Here is a 22143-nt window from a genome sequence, read left to right as displayed (position 1 = left end):
ATAACTGGGGCCTCATTTGTCTAATTCAGGTCTTTCCCCAATTGAGAATTGTGTTATGCAATTGAAAGCAATTGTTTATTTAACATGTCAGGCTTAGCAATAATATAACTAGTACGTTTATTAACATGTAATATGAAGATTAGAAATTAGAGTTTTGAATAACTTTGAAAAATAGTTATTCTCTATTTCAAAAGTAATGTATTATTATTATGAATAACATGGAAATGACTAGGAAAGGTGTGGGGGAAGTGAGTGAAGAGAGGTTGGTTAATGGGTATAAACATATAGTCAGATAGAATGAATACATTCTAATGTTCCATAGTAGAGTATGGTGACCATAGTTAACAACAATGTGTTGTATATTTCAAAATAGCTAGAAGAGAGGGCTTGAAATGTTCCCAAAACAGAAATAATAAATACTTAAAGTGATGGATACTTCCAATATGTTGACTTGATCGCTACACATACTATACATGTAACGAAATATCACATGTGCCCACATATATGTACAATTATTACATATCAACAAAAATTTAAAGAACAAAAAATGACAAAAAAGCATTGATAGAAAAATGAATTACATATACATACATATATGTAAAATTTGCAAATATGTAGTACCTATCATATGTTATGGGGGACCGGTAATTTTACTTCTGTGTTTGTACACTTGAAATAGTTATTGTATATAAATGTGCTTTTATTTGAAAACTGAGAAAATGCCATCTATATAGCTTTTTTCTTTTTTTCCTTTGAAATTACATTGACAGCATTTTCCCCTGACATTAAATCCTCTTAGAGCATAATATCTGTGATTGATGAATTTCAATGCATTATTCTTTATGGAAATGTTTTTAGAATTTTCCTCTGTTGTCAGGGATTTGGTTATTACCAACAGTTCTCTACTATAAGCAACAACATCATGTTGAACTATCTTATACATGCAACTCTACCTGCAATTCATTCTTTGGATAGATTCCAAATAGTTAGATTAGTCAATTTTTAAAAATCGATATTTTAAGGCTCTTGATGCTTGATGCTAAATTATTTTTTGTAAGAATCTCTATTTTCACCAGGAATGTATGAGTGTCATCTCATGGGACCCTTGCCCACTCTGAGAGTGTGTGTGTGTGTGTGTGTGTGTGTGTGTGTGTGTGTGTGTATAATCATCACCAATTTGACTTCTAAAGTCACCTCTCCATCTAAAGTCACCTCTCTCATCAATGGGCTGATTCCCAATTGTTCTTAGAAGTGTTTTTACCATTTGTACTTTTTTTTTACTTTTGTGAGAACTTCATTTTAATGCTACATCCTTATTTGTGAAATATTCTCATCTACTTTCTTTTTCTATCTGAATCACTTATATTCTACGTACTTTCAAAAGGATTTTAAGTCCCCGACAGAAAGAAAAAATGCAATCAAAACACTAAAATCAGGCTAAACAAACCATGACTCACACATGGAATATTGTAGCTTAATAGACACTTTCACATGAATCCTTCCATTTCATCTTCACAAGATGTCTGGCAGGTCTGGGTAATTACAACCCTCCTTATATAGATGTAGAAACTGAGGCTCCTGGAAGGGAGGTGTTGCTGCTGGAGCAGATAGCTGTTCTCTGTCAGCACCAGAACTGCCACTGCCATCTGTTTCATCTCAAACCCACGCTGTCACCAGGTCCAGTCCATTCATTCAATAAATATTTATTCAGAGCCTGATTGCTATATGCCAGGCACCGTTCCTGGCATTAAAGATCCAGCAGAGAACAAAAAAGATAAAGTACTGCCTTAAATGTTAGAATGGAGGGAGGACAGGTGAGGATATATATTGTGCTAAGGAAAGGAGAGGTAGGAAGAGAAATAAAAGGGAGTGGGGGGATAGAGGGTGAGGGGGCCAGGTTGGGGAGTGCAGGCATTACTGTTTATTTTGTGTTCTTTTCTTTCTCTTTAGCACACACAAGACCGCCAAGCATTAAGATTCTCCTGTGGAGCCAGGCTACAATCCTTTAAATGAAGACAGACAGCTAGGTGGCTGCAGCCCAGCGCTACACCTCACCCCTCCCTCAGTGTCATGCAGAAAAAATGTATTCAGAACTCAGAAGTGAAGTTGTGCAAATCCATCATTGACACTAGCTTCAAGGTTACCTCGGGGGAGCAGAATGTACCCCTGCCAGAGAGCTGGATAGATGATGATGGGGACAGAAATTCTGGGGGAGTTGTAAATGGCAGCCACTGCCTCTATAGGAAACCCAAAGGGAACACAGCAGAAGAGGAGGTGGTGGAGGAGCCACTGCCCTCTCGAAGGGTTCAATGTCATTCTGCAGACACAACCAAATAACTTTTTCTTCCCTGCTGCTCCTCCATTTGAAATGACAGCCCCGAGCTCGCTTTTTCCTTGATTGTGTAACTCTGATTACAGACAAGGCCAAGGCAATCCCAGGGCATTACTACAAAGCTAAGGGGTCCCCAAAGAACTAAAGAGTCAGCTCCACAAAAATCCCGATTCCTAGCATGAAACTGAAATATGAAACCAAACGGGCATAGAAAAGGTATGTGCATTCGAATCACATAGCAGTGACTGGAGTCCTGAGCTGTGTCTGAAGACTGTGAGATCACGTTTGGAGCTGCTGATTGGTTTTCAGTGATGGCCCTGTTGCACAGTGCCGTGAGACTTAGCTCCATGGCCAAAGACGATGGTATCCCCTAGGAGCCCTGTGAGGTTGCTGCTGTTCTCTTAAGACACCAGGTAGCCATCTGATCCTCCCTGAGCAAACTAACTGGGCAGACAGGTTTATTAAACCTCTGTTGGTCCGACTTACATGAAACAAGAGAGTTATTTTGTTGTTGTTGTTTTGTTTTGTTTTAAATTAAACCTGTCTTTGGAGCCTCCTGCTCTTAGTTTACAAGTCTTCTTTGCACACTCTAATATTTTAAGAAGCAGCAAACATTAACTGAGGGTCTATTGCATGCCATACATTGTACACTGAGATCAGAAATGCACACGACTGGCTACAGAGGAAAACAGCTTCAGTGAGAGCATCATAATAGCTACCCCCAAGGTCATGATTACTAAGCTCAAAAGTCCCTAAGTGCATACAGACACACACAGACAAAGAACAAACAAAGTTGGGGCCCTGAGTTTCCATGCTTCTTAGCAAGCCAGAAAGAATAAGTGAGCTATGGACCATTGGAATCCCTCAGCCAGTCTTGTCCCATACAATGGCATCACCTTCCCTGCCTCTCTACAGCCAGGAACTCTCAAGACTCTGATTAGTCAGGGCTCCTAAATTCAGTTAGAGCTTCTACTGGTATATTCACTTATTCACTTGGGTACCAAACTATCTATCTTGCCAGACTGTATTGCACTGGTGATACAATGTCAAACATATCAGATACAATTCCCACCTTTGTGAAATGTTCACCAAATTGAGAAAACCAAGATTATATGAGTCCTTGAAAAATAATATCCGTTGTGCACTAGAGAAGTATGTGTGGTTCTGCAGGAATAGGAATGGATAACAGAAATTCTTGGGAAGCATTTAGGGCCCCCAAAAAGATCTTGGAGTGTGTGTGTGTGTGTGTGTGTGTGTGTGTGAGAGAGAGAGAGAGAGAGAAAGAGAGAGAAAGGGGGAGAGAGAGAGAGAGACAGAAAGCAGGGACAGAGTTTGAAGAGGAAACCCACAGTCTTCCACTTAATGGCTTCTTGAGTGAAGTCAGAACACAGCCCCTATTTCCAATGCAGACTCCGGGCCATGGGCTGGCTCAGTGTTGTACTTAGCATAGGAAAGAACCAGGCCCCTTCACCAGGTGCTGCTGACCTCAATCTGGTCTCCTCCACGTGGCTAAGAATGTTCTCCGACACAGGCAGGGGCCTGCAGTCTAAATCTCACCACTTTAAAACATTTGGCTGCTCCAGGCAGATTTTTATCTACATCAAAGAGAAGGAAAAGCTGAAAATGGAACCTGCAGGGGGTGAAAAGGGTGAATGTGGGTGTTGAATGAACACAGATGGTCAGTGTGGAGTTTCACTCCAGAAGGGTTTTGTTTGTTTGTGGAAAGAGATAGGGACTGGGCCACTGCTGCCAGGCACCCCCCCTCAGCACCAGACAGGCCTGGCCCCAGCTGCATCCTCTGTCAGTGAAGTTCCACTCTCCTGGTCTCTGTTGGGCTTTTGCTCCTCCCATTCCAACTTATTTTTTTAACCAGGAAAACATAATGAACTATAGTATCATGTGCCAAGCTAAACATGTTACATGCATTTTCTGTTTTAATCCTCACAACATTCCTAGTTTGGTGACATTATCACTATACTTATTTCACATAGGAGGAAAATCAGAGTTAGTAAGGTAATCATCTTACCCCAAATCCCAAACCCTGTGAAGATCAGAGCCAGGATTCAACCGCAAGGTTAAGGCCATACGCTACACAACTTAGAAATGCCAAGGTTTATAAGGAAACAATAATCCAGAGATTTACCTTTCAGCACAGTGATCCATTAATTTCCAGTTTTTTTCTTTTTGCATGATTTTCTTTTATACATAGTTGATATCTGTTTGTTTACGAATGAGTATAACTTTATATCTTGCTTTTTAAAAAATACACTATTATGGACATATGATCATCAGAAACTCTTGGTAACCATAGTTATGAATGATGTAATAGTCCACATAGTATTGGTACAAAGTATGAATGTGTATATCATAATTTATTCACACCAGTAAACTCTGAGTGTATGTTTCAGCTATTTCCCTTATTGCTTTAATTGCCCTGGGACTATAAATGATGCTGTAATAAGTATCTTTCTATATGCAACATAGTGCACTTATCAGCGTCCAAGAGTAGTAATATGTTAAGAGCTCTTGAGGTAGCTTCCAAGGAAGGCTTGATTCCCTTCTTAATAATAATCATATCTTAGCCATTATTCCCTCAAGTTAAAATAATGGTACCTAGCTTATATGCTTTATAACTATTGGTGTTTCAGTGTGCCTGTGCGCACACACACGTGCATGCATGTGTGGAAAAGAAAAGATAGACATTTACAATGAGTAAACAGCTTTATGCACAGACTGTATTAGATACTCAAGCCAGCTTCTTGAGTCCTCCCCAGTACCTTGCAAGGAAGAGTTTTGCAAGAAAATGAAGCTAAAAATGAAGTAACTACTCCAAGATTTTTTACAGCCAGGGCAATACTGGGCATCTTGAGGATTCAGAACATTTCAGAAGCACAGCCTCCTTCTACCACATCATACCACCCTCCTGAGGGGTCCCTCATAACCTTTAATGTCTGAGTTGCATGTATGAACCCAAAGTGTATGCAATATAAATACATTTTTCACTCTCTTTGTGACAAGTCTGACATAATTTTTTTCTGCATCGATTTTCCCAAATATCTTCATCACGTGTCAAAGATGTTTCCTCTTAGCTACCTGCATTTTTGGCTTGCAGAGACTTGGGATGGCCCCGCCCCCACTTCACACTTCACTTTTCCTTTGTAGAGAGAGATGTAGGAAGGGGGTCTGCAGCCTGCTGTGCTTGGCTGCAGTTTATGGGGAGGGAGGTTAAGCAGAGAGGCGCCAGGCACTGCTTCAATTACACTTTGCTTGTTCTGAGGGCTTTAATCATGACCTCTTTCTCAATAGATCCTTTCAGAAAGGCCAGGGGGAGAATAGGCAATTGGAAACCCTGGTAGTAATCAGGGTCCCAGACCTCCAGTTCCTTGAGAAACAAGGCTGGGACATAAGACTCATTAAAGTGGGTGGGGGGAGCTAAGAGAGACTAACCATTCCTGAAGGAATCCATGTGTTTTGGGGGTGAGGTGGGAGTACACGGAAATCATAAACAACAAGTGGAAAGAGTAGGTGATAATAATTAGTTGGTGGTTTTAATTAGGAGATCTCTTAGGCCAGATGTTCATTGAAAAAGAATGACGACCCCTCCTGAGATATGTAATGAAACTTCAACCCCCACGGCTGGGGAAGGGGGTGGAGATGCAGAATATGGATGCATGAGAGGCATATAGGCCTTTAGCCTGAAGCTTCCTGTGCTGGGGGAAAGGAAGGGGAGGGTGTATGTGTGTTTTTGGTGGAGCCCACCTTCTATCCCTGAGACTTAGGCATTTGTATTCTCTTTTGAGTAGCCAGTTCAGCAGAGCGTGCCTGCTTCTGATTAACCTAAGGAGGACGGCCGGGAGACCTGACTCCTTGCCTGGACTGGGCGGTCTCAGGAATCTGGGCCTCTGTGCACTGTCTGGGACTCATTGTTCTGGGGAGAGAATGGGCAGAGGCATCCTGCGAGTCCTCCCTGGCACTTGCAGACAGCAGGCTTTTGTACCTATTCCTGCTCTAAGGGGGGTGTAACACGTGGTTGGCTGGAAATCTGGTGTGAATAAATTCTGATGTACATATTCATACTTTGTACTGATACTATGCAGACTATTAAGTCATTTACAGCTATGGTTACCAAGAGTTTCTGATGATAATACATCTGTAATAGTGTATTTTTAAAAAGCAAGATATAAAGTTATACTCATTCATAAACAAACAGATATCAACTATGTATAAAAGAAAATCATGCAAAAAGAAAGAAAAAACTGGAAATAAATGGATCACTGTGCTGAAAGGTAACTCTCTGGATTATTGTTTCCTTATGAACTTTGGCATTTCTAGGTGGTGTAGAGGACGGCCTTAACCTTGGGGTTGAATCCTGGTTCTGATCTTCACAGGGTTTGGGATTTGGGGTAAGATGCTTACCTTCCTAACTCTGATTTTCCTCCTGTGTGAAATACAGTGATATTGTCACCAAAGTAGGAATGTTGTGAGGATTAAAATAGATATCTCTTTTTCCTATAATGTGTTTACTCTGGGCCAGACCATGTATTAACCATGAGCTACCAGGTATTAAGTGTCAAACTCCTTAGTTAAGAAACATGGAGATGGAAACTTGCCCAGAGTGATTAATTAAGAAAATAAAATCAATATTTGATAGCAGAGTAGGGTGACTATAGTTAAGACAAATGCAGTGTGCACTGGTGATGAACACCCTAAGTTCCCTGACTTGTTACTATGCATTATATACATATAAGAAAATTTCACATATACTCCATTAATTTGTGCAAATAAAAATAACTTTTTTTAAAAAAGAAAAGAACAGTCATCGTAATAGTAGCTAACATCCCCTGGACACTTTCTAAGCAGCTTCCATGGACTATACCTTTGAAGTCACAGAAAAACACTATGGCATACATCTGTCTAATGTTATTTTCTAGAGATCACTAAAGCTTAGGAAATTAATGGGACTTTCCAAGGCTCACACCATTTGTGAGTGGCAGAGCTGGGATTTGATCCCAGGGAGAATATGTTCAAAGATTGGTCTCTAAGTTTTCATAAAAGGAAGGGGAACAATACCAAGGAAAGGCAAGAACTGCGCAAAACAGCATGGGAGTTGAAGGCAGAAATAAATAAATTCCCTTTGGGCCAGGAGTCAGCCAACTTTTTCTGTAAAGAGTCAGACAGTGAATATTTTATGCTTTCCAGGTCATTCACTTTCTGTTGCAACTCCTCAACTCTACCATTGTAGTGCAAAAGCAGCCATGTATGCCAATGAATGAGTGTGGGTGTGTTCAAATAAACCTTTATTTACAAAAATGGGTGGAGTTGACTGATGGGATATTGTTTGCCAACTCCTGCATAAGACCCTTATCAGAATTTGAGATTGGGAGTGGCTTTGAAAGAGGATATTGCTGAAAATCCTCATTTCAGATTAACTGAGGTTCCTAGAATCCAGGGATTGGATTCCCAGAACTAGTACTTTGTTTATCCATTGATTAACTGGCCTAGTATCACACAGTTGACAAAAGGCAGATTCTGGACCTGAATCCACATCAGTTTAACTATGGAACCCAGCTAAATTCTGCAACTCTGTTAATACAACTGATCGAAATGAATGCCTGGATGGGCTCTTCTCCAGCATGTTCCACTGTTGGACAGAGTTAACAATGGTGAACAACACTCTCTTGCATTTCCTACTGACGTGTGACCTTGAACAAGAGACCAGCTTCTCTGAGAGTCAGCCTTATGCTGCCTTTACCAGATATGTCAGCAAGATCAGGGACTTCACATCCAGATAGATTTTGTTCTGACCATAGACTTTGGGATCTATAGTGGTGAGATCTTAGGCAACTGTAAGACTCTCTCAGAAATAAGGACTGTTGCTTCCTACTCATATCTTTCTAAGAAAACTCCACCACTATCCCTGCCACCACAACCTGCACATGTTGCAAACCAAGGCATCCACGTGAATCACTTTGCAAGCTCATACCCTCATCGTAGTTTATTGGACCTGACCCAAGGCAAACTGGTGTCAGGCCTTTGAGCCCAAGCCAAGCCGTCGCATCCCCTGTGACTTGCACATATACGCCCAGATGGCCTGAAGTATACATTTTATTACCCAATCTGCTCCCGACATTAAATAAAACTCCAAAAATTGGAATCTGGCCCTCAAACCCCACAACAGGACTTAATTAACCTCACCTTCAAGGTGTACAATAACAGAAAAAAGTTACAATTCCTTGCCTCCACTGTGAGACAAACCCCAGCCACATCTCCAGCACACAAGAACTTCCAAACGCCTGAACCGCAGCGGCCAGGCGTTCCTCCAGAACCTCCTTCCCCAGGAGCTTGCTACACGTGCCCGAAATGTGGCCACTGGGCCAAGGAATGCCCGCAGCCCGGGATTCCTCCTAAGCCGCGTCCCATCTGTGTGGGACCCCAATGAAAATTGGACTGTTCAACTCACCTGGCAGCCACTCCCAGAGCCCCTGGAACTCTGGCCCAAGGCTCTCTGACTCCTTCCCAGATCTTCTCGGCTTAGCGGCTGAAGACTGACACTGCCCGATCGCCTCGGAAGCCCCCTAGACCATCACGAACGCCGAGCTTCCGGTAACTCTCACAGTGGAAGGTAAGCCCGTCCCCTTCTTAATCAATACGGAGGCTACCCACTCCACATTACCTTCTTTTCAAGGGCCTGTTTCCCTTGCCTCCATAACTGTTGTGGGTATTGACGGCCAGGCTTCTAAACCTCTTAAAACTCCCCAACTTTAGTGCCAACTTAGACAATACTCCTTTAAGCACTCCTTTTTAGTTATCCCCACCTGCCCAGTTCCCTTATTAGGCTGAGACACTTTAACTAAATTATCTGCTTCCCTGACTATTCCTGGACTACAGCCACATCTCATTGCCACCCTTCTCCCCAACCGAAAGCCTCCTTCGCGTCTTCCTCTCATATCCCCCTACCTTAACCCACAAGTATGGGACATCTCTACTCCTTCCCTGGCAACCGATCACATGCCCATTACATCCCATTAAAACCTAATCACCCTTACCCCACCCAATGCCAATATCCCATCCCGCAGCACACTTTAAAAGGATTAAAGCCTGTTATCACTCGCCTGCTACAGCATGGGCTTCTAAAACCTATAAACTCTCCCTACCATTCCCCCATTTTACCTGTCCTAAAACCAGACAAGCCTTACAAGTTAGTTCAGAATCTGTGCCTTATCAACCAAATTGTTTTGCCTATCCACCCCGTGGTGCCAAACCCGTATCCTCTCCTATCCTGAATACCTCCCTCTACTACCCATTATTCTGTTCTGGATCTCAAACATGCTTTCTTTACTATTCCTTTGCACCCTTCATCCCAGCCTCTCTTTGCCTTCACTTAGACTGACCCTGACACCCATTAGGCTCAGCAAATTACCTGGGCTGTACTGCCGCAAGGCTTCACAGACAGCCCCCATTACTTCAGTCAAGCCCAAATTTCATCCTCATCTGTTACCTATCTCGGCATAATTCTCATAAAAACACACGTGCTCTCCCTGCTGATCGTGTCTGATTAATCTCCCAAACCTCAATCCCTTATAAAAGAACAACTCCTTTCCTTCCTAGGCATGGTTAGTGTGGTCAGAATTCTTACACGAGAGCCAGGACCACACCCTGTAGCCTTTCTGTCCAAACAACTTGACCTTACTGTTTTAGCCTAGCCCTCATGTCTGCGTGCAGCGGCTGCCACTGCTTTAATACTGTTAGAGGCCCTAAAAATCACAAACTATGCTCAACTCACTCTCTACAGTTCTCATAACTTCCAAAATCTATTTTCTTCCTCATACCTGATGCATATACTTTCTGCTCCCCGGCTCCTTCAGCTGTACTCACTCTTTAAGTCCCACAATTACCATTGTTCCTGACCAGGACTTCAGTCCAGCCTCCCACATTATTCCTAATACCACACGTGACCCCCATGACTGTATCTCTCTGATCCACCTGATATTCACCCCATTTCCCCATATTTCATTCTTTCCTGCTCCTCACCCTGATCACGCTTGATTTATTGGTGGCAGTTCCACCAGGCCTAATCGCCACACACCAGCAAAGGCAGGTTATGCTATAGTACAAGCCACTAGCCCGCCTCTTAGGACCTCTCATTTCCTTTCCATGGTGGAAATCTATCCTCAAGGAAATAACTTCTCAGTGTTCCATCTGCTATTCTCAGGGATTATTCAGGACCCCTCCCTTCCCTACACATCAAGCTCAAGGATTTGCCCCCACCCAGGACTGGCAAATTAGCTTTACTCAACATGTCCCGAGTCAGGAAACTAAACTATTAGACCTCTTAGTCTAAATAGACACTTTCACTGAATAAGTAAAGGCCTTTCCTACAGGGTCTGAGAAGGCCACCACAGTCATTTCTTCCCTTCTGTCAAACATAATTCCTCAGTTTAGCCTTCCCACCTCTATACAGTCTGATAACAGACCAGCCTTTATTGGTCAAATCAGCCAAGCAGTTTTTCAGGCTCTTAGTATTCAGTGAAACCTTTATATCCCTTACAGTCTTCCATCTTCAAGAAAAGTAGAGTGGACTAAAGGTCTTTTAAAAACAGACCTCACCAAGCTCAGCCACCAACTTAAAAAGGACTGGACAATACTTTTACCACTTTTGCTTCTCAGAATTCAGGCCTGTCCTCAGAATGCTACAAGGTGTACAGGAGCCCATTTAAGCTCCTGTATAGACGCTCCTTTTTATTAGGCCCCAGTCTCATTCGACACCAGAGCAACTTAGACTGTGCCCCCAAAAAAACTTGTCATCCCTACTATCTTTTGTCTAGTCATACTCCTATTCATCGTTCTCAACTACTCATACGTGCCCTGCTCTTGTTTACACTGCCGGTTTACACTGTTTCTCCAAGCCATCACAGCTGATATCTCCTGGTGCTATCCCCAAACTGCCACTCTAAACTCTTGAAGTAAATAAATAATCTTTGCTGGCAGGACTATGCTGAATCTCCTGAGGCACTCTCTAATCAGATGTCCTGGGTCCTCCCAATTCTTAGACCTTTTATACCTGTTTTTCTCCTTCTCTTATTCCATTTCGTTTTTCAATTCATACAAAACCGTATCCAGGCCATCACCAATCATTCTATATGACAAATGTTTCTTCTAACAACCCCACAGTATCACCCCTTACCACAAGACCTCCCTTCAGCTTAATCTCTCCCACTCTAGGTTCCCACGCCACCCCTAATCCCGCTTGAAGCAGCCCTGAGAAACATCGCCCATTCTCTCTCCATACCACCCCCAAAAATTTTCGCCGCCCCAACACTTCAACACTATTTTGTTTTATTTTTCTTATTAATATAAGAAGGCAGGAATGTCAGGCCTCTGAGCCCAAGCCAAGCCATCGCATCCCCTGTGACTTGCAGGTATATGCCCAGACGGGCTGAAGTAACTGAAGAATCACAAAAGAAGTGAAAAGGCCCTGCCCCGCCTTAACTGATGACATTCCACCATTATGATTTGTTCCTGCCCCACCTTAACTGAGTGATTAACCCTGTGAATTTCCTACTCCTGGCTCAGAAGCTCCCCCACTGAGCACCTTGTGACCCCCGCCCCTGCCCACCAGAGAACAACCCCCTTTGACTGTAATTTTCCATTACCTTCCCAAATCCTATAAAACGGCCCCACCCCTATCTCCCTTTGCTGACTCTCCTTTCGGACTCAGCCCGCCTGCACCCAGGTGAAATAAACAGCCATGTTGCTCACACAAAGCCTGTTTGGTGGTCTCTTCACACGGACACACATGAAAACTGGTCCACTGGCTGAACTAAACCAATAAGATTCTTCTGAAAAATAATTTGCAGAAGGAGGCATCTCAAGAGTTGTGGTAGTTGAGTCTTACTGATGGGGGATAGACATGTAAACATCCAGCAACTCTTGATGCTGAAGTCTCTGAAGCCTCACTGGCTCTTGTCCGTGGTAAGGACTTCTGTAGTTCAGCTACTCTCCAGTTTTGAGTCTTTTGAATTTTGGATCAGTTTGGTCATTGTCCTACTTTTTAGGGGCAAATTTGTCTTAAGACACCCATCTGCAATACAAAAATAATGGATAGGTGTTTCATAAAGTTTGTCCTGAGAATAGAGATAATGTAAAGGAGCCAAAAGGATAGATCTGGCAAGCAAAGGGCATGAAAAACATGTTTGTTCCATTCTTGCCATTTACTTTCTGAAACGATGATTCAGGAAAGGAAGTATGATAGCTATACTGGAACCACAGACCCGTGCACACTTATGAGTAGGAAGACACTGTAAAAGCTATCCTGAGCAAACAGTGACTCCACCAGAAAGCCTCCTGGCAGCCTTACTGACAGACACCCTCTCCGTTCATACTTGAACAACTCCAAAAGGAAAGAGCTCATCCCCAGCATAGTGTCTGACTCCAGTGTTACATGGCTCTGATTATGCAGACCCTCTTATTTGTAATGCACTGAACATGTGGACCTTCTTATTTGTAATGCAATACACATGGCCCCCTTGGAATTTTCATCACTGGTCCTCGGATTGCATTTTTGAAGCCATAGAGAATGAAGTACTGGAAGTTCTAAGAGGCAATATGCAAAATATAGAAATAGGCCATGTGTTGGGATAGTGAAACCATGAGGAATTGTGTTACCTATTTACAGATACTTTCAAACATGGCCAAAGTTTTTCTTAAAATTTTTAATGATGGACATACCTTAAGATTGAAGCATTTGAAGAGAAGGGATTTTGCCCCTCATTCTTCTTAAGTTATTTGTTATCCAGTCAAAACATCTCCAAGTCCTTCCATTGCCTCTCATGAGGTATAATTTCCTTCTCTGTATTTCATCCAGCTTATCAACATCTCATGAAAACATGGAACTCAGAATAAACACAATAGGCAACCCTGGTCTGGGAGCTGACCAGGGTTATCACATTCATTTATTTTTCTACCTGCTTTGCACTAACCCCAGAGCATATGGGGGAATGTAGTTCCTCCATCCCGACCCCTTCATCCTGTTATTCCAGTGGTTCCTATCAGTAGATAAAGAACGACTTATAAAAATAGTCAACATCTTTTATTTTAACAATCACCCCAGGAAGCCTGTGCCTATGGAACAACCATAACTCAATCTCCTGGGATTATACCCACAGGGCCAATGGCCCTTATGGTATATCTTCCTTAAATCATCTCCCTGAATCTCAGCCTGTGCAATGACTCCATAACTTTTATTTCCTCACAGGATTTGGTACTGACCATTGTTTGGATACCAGCTAGTACCCAGGGAATGCTTGAGATATTTTAACTCAAATTTCTACTTTCCTAATTCAATGCCTTTTTTGCAACACTCTGGAAGAGATTTTAGCCTTTTTAACATTCAATTTGCCATGTTTGGTTATAAAAACTGCCAACTCCCATGTTCTAGAGTTGGCATTTTAATGAAGGCCTGAAACAACTGTAGGAAAATAAATGAACAATGTGAACACCACCTGGCCTAAGCAGGGCCTATCACAGTGATAGGAATGACCCAGACCATTGGTCAATTAGTGTTAATTCATTAATTATAGTCCAGGAGGGAGAGCATGCGTTTGGATTATGAAAGATTATTGGAGGGTTTATTTCTTTGTGATCCAAGCCCCAGGACCATTCACCATTATATCTGCTGAGAAGCCAGCATGCACATTGTACCAAGTGTGTCAGGAACTAAGGAAGTCAGGAGGGAATTTTGGTTGCCTCAAAGCAATTTGCCATGTTCCATCCCCTTGCCTCTTTGCATCTCACCACCTGCAGCCACTGAGCCAGAGTAAGCTGGGCTGAGCCATGTGCAAAGTTATTCCACTGTGATTTGCTGTCACTGAAGACAGCCAAATCTCACAGTGTCCTACCCAGAACTCTTGAAGAGCTGTTTCTCTGTTCCTGAAAACTAGAGCCTTAATCCAAAGGGACTAGAAGAGACTAGAAACATACGGAGACTAGTGTTAGGGGCTTCTTCAGAGGGCAGTAGCACGGTGGAAAACTGTGGTTCCCAAATGTTAGTGCAAATCCAAATCACTTGGAGTGTTTGTTAAAACGCACATCTCTGACTGTTTAGCAAGTCTGGGGTGAGGCCTGGGAATTTGCATTTGTCATGAATTTTTAGGTGATGCTGATTCAGCTGGTCCAAGGACTGTACTGAGGAGCACAGATGTAAAGGGCGAAGGTTCAGAGTTAAGAACACAAGAACACACAGGCTCAAGTTCCACCTTTGAGTCTTATAACCAGGTGGCTTTGGCCAAGTCACTGTACCCCTTTGAGCTCTAGGGTATTATTGTTGTCATTGTTGTTGCTGCTGCTTATAAAATGTTAAAATAATCCCCAGGTCAAAATGTTGTCCTGAGTCACAGTGTCCCTGAGCCTATGGCAGGAATTAACATATCTAAGCCTCAGCTTCTCCAGATTGGAGATTTCTGAAAGAAATAAAAATAGAATTACCACTCTATTGTGTGTTAAAGTACAGTTGTTCACACAGTGGAGCCTCAATCAGTGTCAGGTCCCTTCGGTTGCTTGGGGTCCCTCTCTACCTGCACAGGTGAGCCTCTAGGAAATGATGCTTTTATTTTCTTTTGCAACTACTTCCTGTGACTTTTTAACTTAACAGGCCTTCCTAACATGCCCTTCATCTTATGCTGGAAAAAGCCCACATTGTCCGCCACACCAAAGAATACTCAAACCCACTGACCAGGCCAATGGAGACAGGATGTCCCTGTTGTCTCCACATCTGGCCTCTCCAGCACAAGCCTCTAATTTTCTGTGGCTCTCACTTGGCCTCCCTTCAATGTGGGAGGGTAGTGTGGATAATGAGCCCCATCTGTGGGGCAGCTGGGTTCTGAGGCCCCCCTTCTCCATGCCTTTGAAGAGTACATCCATGTTCTGCCTGGAGGTCTCCTGTTGTGACCAGCATTTCTGTTTCCCATTAGCAGGGGGAGAGCATCAAAATGGTAAAAAGAGGAAGCAAATTAATGCCTTATTCTGGGATGTGCTGAAATTTACCAGTATGGGGGATGTTGCTGCAGATGAGAGTGTCTTAGACACAGATATTAATGGCAATGATTTCCCTTCCATAATGGCAAAGCATCTTGGTGTGGTGGCTGAAAAACTATGTGATTTAGAGTCAATATATTAGGGTTTGAGTTCAAGCTATTCCATGTGAAAGTCACAGTGACCCTAAGTTTAGGGCAGGTGAAGTTACAGAGAGGTCTACAGGGGACTTTGAGTAAGACCCCTCCTCCAAATTACCTTCACATTTTTTTCTAAAGCAGAAAGTAATAATTAAGAAAACTTGAGTGTACTTCAAGATATTAAAACCAACTGACCATTCTAGACATATGGACTCAAGCTTTTCAAATATAAAGTCCACAAGTTAATTTCTTTTTCTAAACTTTACATTGATCTGTGAAATGACCACCTCCAAAATCCCAAATAAGGTGAGCCTGAAATCCTCTCTGAGCCTGTATTTATGGGATCTTTAGTTATCCCTAGTTGTTTCTCGCTGAATGGTCTGGATGGATTTTGTGTGAACTCAAGGATGTTTGGTTTTATTCTACACCTTTGACATTTGCTAAAAGGAGCAAAAACATAAATGGTGCTGAGCTTTCAGACTGTCACTGAGCAGCAGCCTTTTGTCACTTACCAGTTCTGTGAGTCTGGCAATGTGCTTAATCTTGCAGAGCCTCAGTTTCCTCATATGTAAAATGAAAGCTAAAACCTATCTTTTAAAGCTGTAGTGAGGATTGCTTAAGAAAACATATTCCTGGTACATAGAAAATGCTCAAAACTGGTTAAAAACCCTTCCCCTGCCTATACTCACCCTTTCTTTCAATATAAGTCCCCCCACCCCACCAAGTACTGGACGTAGGTGAGCTCTTTAAAGTTGGATAATCTAACCTTGTGTTTTTTTAAAAATGTATTTTGCTCATAGTTATTTTAACTTAGAGAGGGTTAGTTATGCCAAGACTCTATTCAGAAAGTGTTCACAGCAATGGTGTGCTGGTAAATGTGTGACAATGGGCTGTCTGGAAAAGGTGGGGAGGGCAAGCTGCAGTTTGTCACCTTTGCTGAATTCCATACTGGCTGATTTCAAGCTACCAAGGAGACATCGCTGGTCACAAAGTTTGGAAGAAATGAGCATACTTGGCTTATCTAAGTTGGTAAGAGCTGGCTCCAGTGTAGCTAGGGGTCACAGGATGAGGAATTGACCATTTCAGTATAGTTATAGAATACGGCAAGAAGGAGAGAGAAGGGCAGAGATGGAGCACAAAACAACAAACAAAAATGAAATAAAATAAAAAATGAAGGGAAAAACAAAAAGGAAATAAAAAAAGAAAGAAACAGCGACCTTAGATATCATCTCTTCCAATTATTCTATTTTGCAGGCAAAACAACGAGGGACCAGAGAGAAGAAATAAGCTTCCTACGGTCACCCCTCACATCAGTGGTGGACTTGGCATACCAAGCCGAGGGCTTAAATATGTGAGAGACCAAGCATTCTCAAGAGAAGCTAGAATTAATGAGTGAAACTGAGCAAATAACACAATAGTTTGAACCAAATAAAGCATCGCCCCACAGTTAAATCTACAATGAAGTAATGACTTCTCTGGACAAACCTCAACACTCAAACTCAACTAGCCAAAAAGACTTAAGACTAGTCTTGAGGAATGGGCTGTATGGGTGGAAAATGGAAGGGATGCCTTGGTGTTAGGGGCCTCTCCAGCCCCAAATGTCAGTAATTCTGTGATTGAAGGGCCTGCCATTTGGCACTTAGCTGCCACATAGGAACTGGCAGTATTAACCTGCAGCTACAAGCAATTAACACGCACAGTCTTGTGAGACTTGTTGCAAAATTTGGTGGAATTACTCTGTGATTTCTCCCTCTAGCATTTGTTTTGCAAAGGGAATAATTTCTGTTGTGTTTCAGGTTTTATGCCTTGTGATGTCAATATGTATTTAGACCAGATGGTCCAACCATCTTAGGAAATTCAGAGCTGCAGATCCTTCTTCCCTAAATTGAAAAGCTCAGCATCCCAGTTAATGACACAGACTCCTGTCTGTCAGGATGGTGTGTAATTATTTTGAGAGTGAAAGAAAAACTTAGGTTTAGGGATTCCCCACGAGTCAGACACACTGGTTAGCCTTGGCCATCCCAGTCCAATTCAAGACAGACACTCACTAGCTAATCCTTTAAACTTAATTCTTCAAACATCCCCACCAATTTGCAAAATGATGGTATTGAATTCATTGCATCAGAGTTTAAAGAATTACAGAGCAGGAATATGAAAGTTTGCATTATTGCACTGCCACGTAATAGCACAGTAACCATACATCATCTCTAACCTTAACATCTCTAAGTCTCACCTTCTCCAGTTTAGAGATTTCTCAAAGAACTAAAGATAGAACTACCATTTGACCCAACGATCCCATTGCTGGGTATATACCCAAAGGAAAATAAATTATTCTACCAAAAAAGACACCAGCACTCATATGTTTATTACAGCACTATTCACAATAGCAAAGACATGGAATCAAACCAGGTCCTCCACAATGGTCGATTGGATAAAGACAATGTGATATATACCATGGAATACAATGCAACCATAAAAAGAACAAAACCATGTCCAGTGCAGCAACATGGATGCAGCTAGAGGCCATTATCATAAGTGAATTGACACAGGAACAGCAAAGCAAATACTGCATGTTCTCACTTATAAGTGGGAGCTAAAATTTGGTACACGTGGACATAAAGATGGGACCAATGGACACTGGAGACTGCTGGAGGGAAGAGTGTGGGAGGGGATAAGGGTTGAAAACTACCTATTGGGTACTATATCCAGTATTTGAGTGACAGGATCAGTAGAAGCTCAAACCTCAGCATCATACCATATACTCATGTAACAAACCTGCATGTGCACCCCCTGAATCTAAAATAGATAAAATAAAACAAATCTCAGCTTTTCATGTAAAAAAGGATAAAGGTAATATAAAAGAGGTTTTTGTGAAGACTAAATGAGAGTACATGTTATGTACTTGGTGTTGTGATTGGCACAGAGCAAACACTTAGTAAATGTTAGCTTTAGAATTGTATCGATATTTTCATAACAGAATTAAGAATTTGTGACCCCATTAAATACATAAGGTTACTAATACTCAAAAGGAAGTTGCTTTTTTCAAAGACAGATAGCTAAGATTCAAGCCAAGGTCTGTATGACTCTGAATGCTATTAATATATTGTTCATGATAACATGATTTACAAGATTTCCCTTATAGGTAATAGGGGAGCAAGTACTCTTAATAATTATTGGAATTGCTATTTTTTCCCATATGCTTATGATTGGCAGTCTCTGAACAAGGTGGAAAGTCCTGTAGCTGGGCAAAAGCAACCTTGCAAGTTCTGGTACAAGTCTCTTAAACATTCTCCAGGCAGTAGAATTGCAGGAAGCTGGGGGCCAGTCTTATCATTGTTATTTCTGCCTCGCTGAAAGGGATGGGTAATAGACATGGAATGGGGAGAATTCTCAAGCATAAATGAGTTCCCAGTCTTCAAATGACCAGCCACATGTTATGGACAACTATAGAAAATGGCAACAATCACTTTGGGAACCACACTATGCTAGGTCTTCCATGGTTTATGATCATTCTTGAACTGGTCTAAGCCATTTATTTATAGGGGAGAAAAATTTTTCTGACGAGAATCATTTTCTAGTTTGACAATTTTATTTTAGTGTTACTTGATCTACTTTGAAGCCTTCTGGGAAATCTATGTTACATTTGACTTCTCTCCACATCAGCCTGTTAGCTATTAGATGGCTAATTCGCTTCACAAGATATGCTGATATGAGAGGCACTCGGCTCATATTAGGAGTAGAATTTCGCCACTCAATGGTCAGGTCATTTATGATTAAGACAGAAGAGCAATCCAAACACAGCAGCCAATGAGAATGCTCTCCAATCACCTGTAATCACTGCTCTTGGGTTTCTAATGGAAGTGGTTTCTCTTGGTGGCTATCAAACAGCTAGGATTTCTCCTAAAAATAATATGCTTTGGTTTGGAAGTAGAGATTATAGGAAGCCTCTCTCTCTCTTTCCTTGTGTGTGTGTGTGTTTCCCTTTTCCCCATATTTTTTTTCCTATATTTTCTTTATGGAGCAAAATGAAGAAAAAAATTAAGATAAACTATGAAAATAGCAATACATGAGAACTAAAATAACTTTTTCTAAGGTAGTTCAGTGAAACACTTCAGCTTTGGGATAAGATAATCCTAGATTCTAGAGTCATCATTTGTTATTTATAAGCCACACAGCTCTGAAGTAGTTAATAAATTTTCCCAAGCCTTTGTGTCCTTATGTGTCAAATGTAGATAATCCAGTAGTTTTTTTCAAGGAACAATTGGAAACTGAATGAATAGCACTACAAACATGATGGCAACTGTTAGAGAATTCTTGAGGAAATATATTGTTGTCACTCTTCTGTAGTTAAGTAGAATGAATTGGCACCAGAACAAGATGAATCTTAACTAAAATAAAGTTTATTTCCAGATAGTGAGATCTATGGAAGTTGAACATATGCTGTAGAACTTCTTATGCCTTTATTTAAGAATCTGCATTGTCAAGGGTAGGACGAACCTCAAGTTCACAATCATAAAACACTCTTGCAGTGTCTGAAACAGGGGAGAATTTCCATGTGTGTATGCCTTGAGTCTATAGAGAAAGTGCTTGGACAGCTGACACTGCACTCTATACTTGCCCCAGAACATAGGTTGCCTATGAAGAAGATAAAAAAGAAATAAAAAAAGATAATCCTAGTGTTCTGAAATTACACATTTTTTATAGGACCTTAGATGAATTGTCTAACTTTAGTTGTCCTCAGGTAGTCATTTCATAAAATAAGAACACCGTTGTGTCCTTCCCAAGTGTCCAAACATCTACTTTAGTTATCCAGAAATAAAGTGAGAAGAAAGTACAGAAAGGTGTTATGAATCTTGAATAGTGTTCAAAGCAAACTTCACAAAGTCCCTGGTAGACAATCCAAGAAGGCAAATAGAATGTTCTATACCATTCACACGTGTCTTTTTTTTTTTTTTTTTTTTGAAACAGTGTCTCTGTCACCCAGGCTGGAGTGCAGTGGCATTATCTCGGCTCACTGCAACCTCTGCCTCCGGGTTCAAATGATTCTCCTGCCTTAGCTTTCCTAATAGCTGGGACTAGAGGTGCCCGCCACCGTGCCTGGCTAATTTTTGTATTTTTAGTAGAGACGGGGTTTCACCATGTTGACCAGGCTGGCCTCAAACTCCTGACCTCAGATGATCCACCCGCCTTGCCCTTCCCAAAATGCTGGCATTACAGGTCGGCCCACTCATGTCTTTACCATTACTCTCCCAAGATTTGTGTGGAGATGCTCTTTGGGGAGGAACAATAAAATGGCAGAGACTTTGTTAGGATAAAAACAATGGAAATTAATTATAAGAGTCCATTTCCATGAAAAGGAGAAAGGTGAGTTTGTCTTGCAGCTATTCTTGTCTGGGGTTTCTGAAAGACTTACACCTTAAGGATAAGTCAGTATCCTGGGATACAAACAGAGGCATAGGATAAGGCTTAGAGTAATAATGGCAGAGGAAAAGAGGGAAAAATAAGATAAAGAAAAGGAACTTGGACTATTTATCTGAGCTGGATCTGTATGGACTGAGAAGACAACTTATGAAAAATGTGAAAGAGCATATTTTGTAGACATTATTTAGATTCTTTGTGGATGAAAAATGCATTTCAGTTACTAATAAGACTCGTTCTTCTAATTAAATATATGTGCAATGTCCATCCAAATGTATGGGCATCATGAAATGATTCTTCAGAGTTTATCACCATAGTTTTGGGCTTGGCCACCAGGCAGGTGGGCAGCCAGGGGAATACAGAGGCCAGATAAAGTGATCAGTTGAATAAAATTAAAATAATGGCAGTGAGGAAAGGCCCTGTACTCTGACTGGAGAACCCCCTGCAAAGCTGTACTTGTATTCATAAGTTAAGATACTTCACCAGCCATCATTTGCAGAGAATCTGGGTAGGATGGCATTCAGGCAATCATCCATGAAATCACTTATTCAGCTTTTGAATGAATGAAAGAAAGTGTCTACAATTAGCCAGATGTGAGATGGATAGAAAAGGTGGTCTTTAGTACCCAACAAGTCAGGACTTGGTAAATGCTGAGAAGTTAGAATGCCAACCAAGTAGACCTTTGTTCATGGAGAAGAGATAAGATGAGATTGAAAGATGCAGAAAAGAAACCAGCTGTTTGTGAAAGAGTGAATATTAATGAGTCGGGACTGTGCCCTATATACACATTCTAGGGTAGCAAGACGAATTCCAGACTCCACTGAAGGTAGCGATCAGTCTTGTGAGCTATTCTTAAGCTTGAGTGGCACTGGTCCCCAAAGTGGGCAAAGTAAGCCCCTGTGGTGAAAGTCTTTAGCTGCTGAAACTAGGCTAGGCTAGATTAGGTTAAGAAGTCACTGGCAAAATGATATACATTGAAGCACAAGCTCAATAGATATGTCCTCATGCCTCAAATAACTACCAGAGAAGAGAAAGACAAACAAACAAACAAACAAACAAACAAACAAAAGAGCAATGTGTTTACAAGGAGAAGCTGTGCAATTAACCATGCTTGCACTTCATTTGTATGGCCTTCTGCTTTGGGGAAAAAACGGCTGTGAGTCTAGAGATGGCTAGGGGTAGAAGTGTCTGTGCCTAATTGAGGAGAAGTTCCAAAGAAGCTGT

The 22143-nt window shown here is 41.6% G+C and overlaps 2 long non-coding RNA genes across 3 annotated transcripts in view; one reads left to right on the top strand and one right to left on the bottom strand.

Annotated features, from left to right (window-relative positions):
* The window catches only part of LINC00922 (long intergenic non-protein coding RNA 922), a 291796-nt gene extending 288908 nt beyond the window's left edge, over positions 1-2888 (top strand). For both annotated transcript variants that reach the window (NR_027755.2, NR_174971.1), the window contains one exon: positions 1951-2888. This is a non-coding gene — a long non-coding RNA (long intergenic non-protein coding RNA 922). The remainder of the gene's footprint in view (positions 1-1950) is intronic.
* LOC124903780 (uncharacterized) overlaps positions 1-22143 on the bottom strand; it is a 161687-nt gene that overhangs the window by 106341 nt on the left and 33203 nt on the right. The gene's annotated exons all lie outside the window — the stretch shown is intronic.

The sequence above is a fragment of the Homo sapiens genome, chromosome 16, assembly GCF_000001405.40.
Source record: "Homo sapiens chromosome 16, GRCh38.p14 Primary Assembly".
Taxonomy (NCBI): Eukaryota; Metazoa; Chordata; class Mammalia; order Primates; family Hominidae; genus Homo; species Homo sapiens.
Note: the sequence above shows the minus strand (reverse complement) of the source record. Positions and strands in the feature narration are given on the sequence as shown.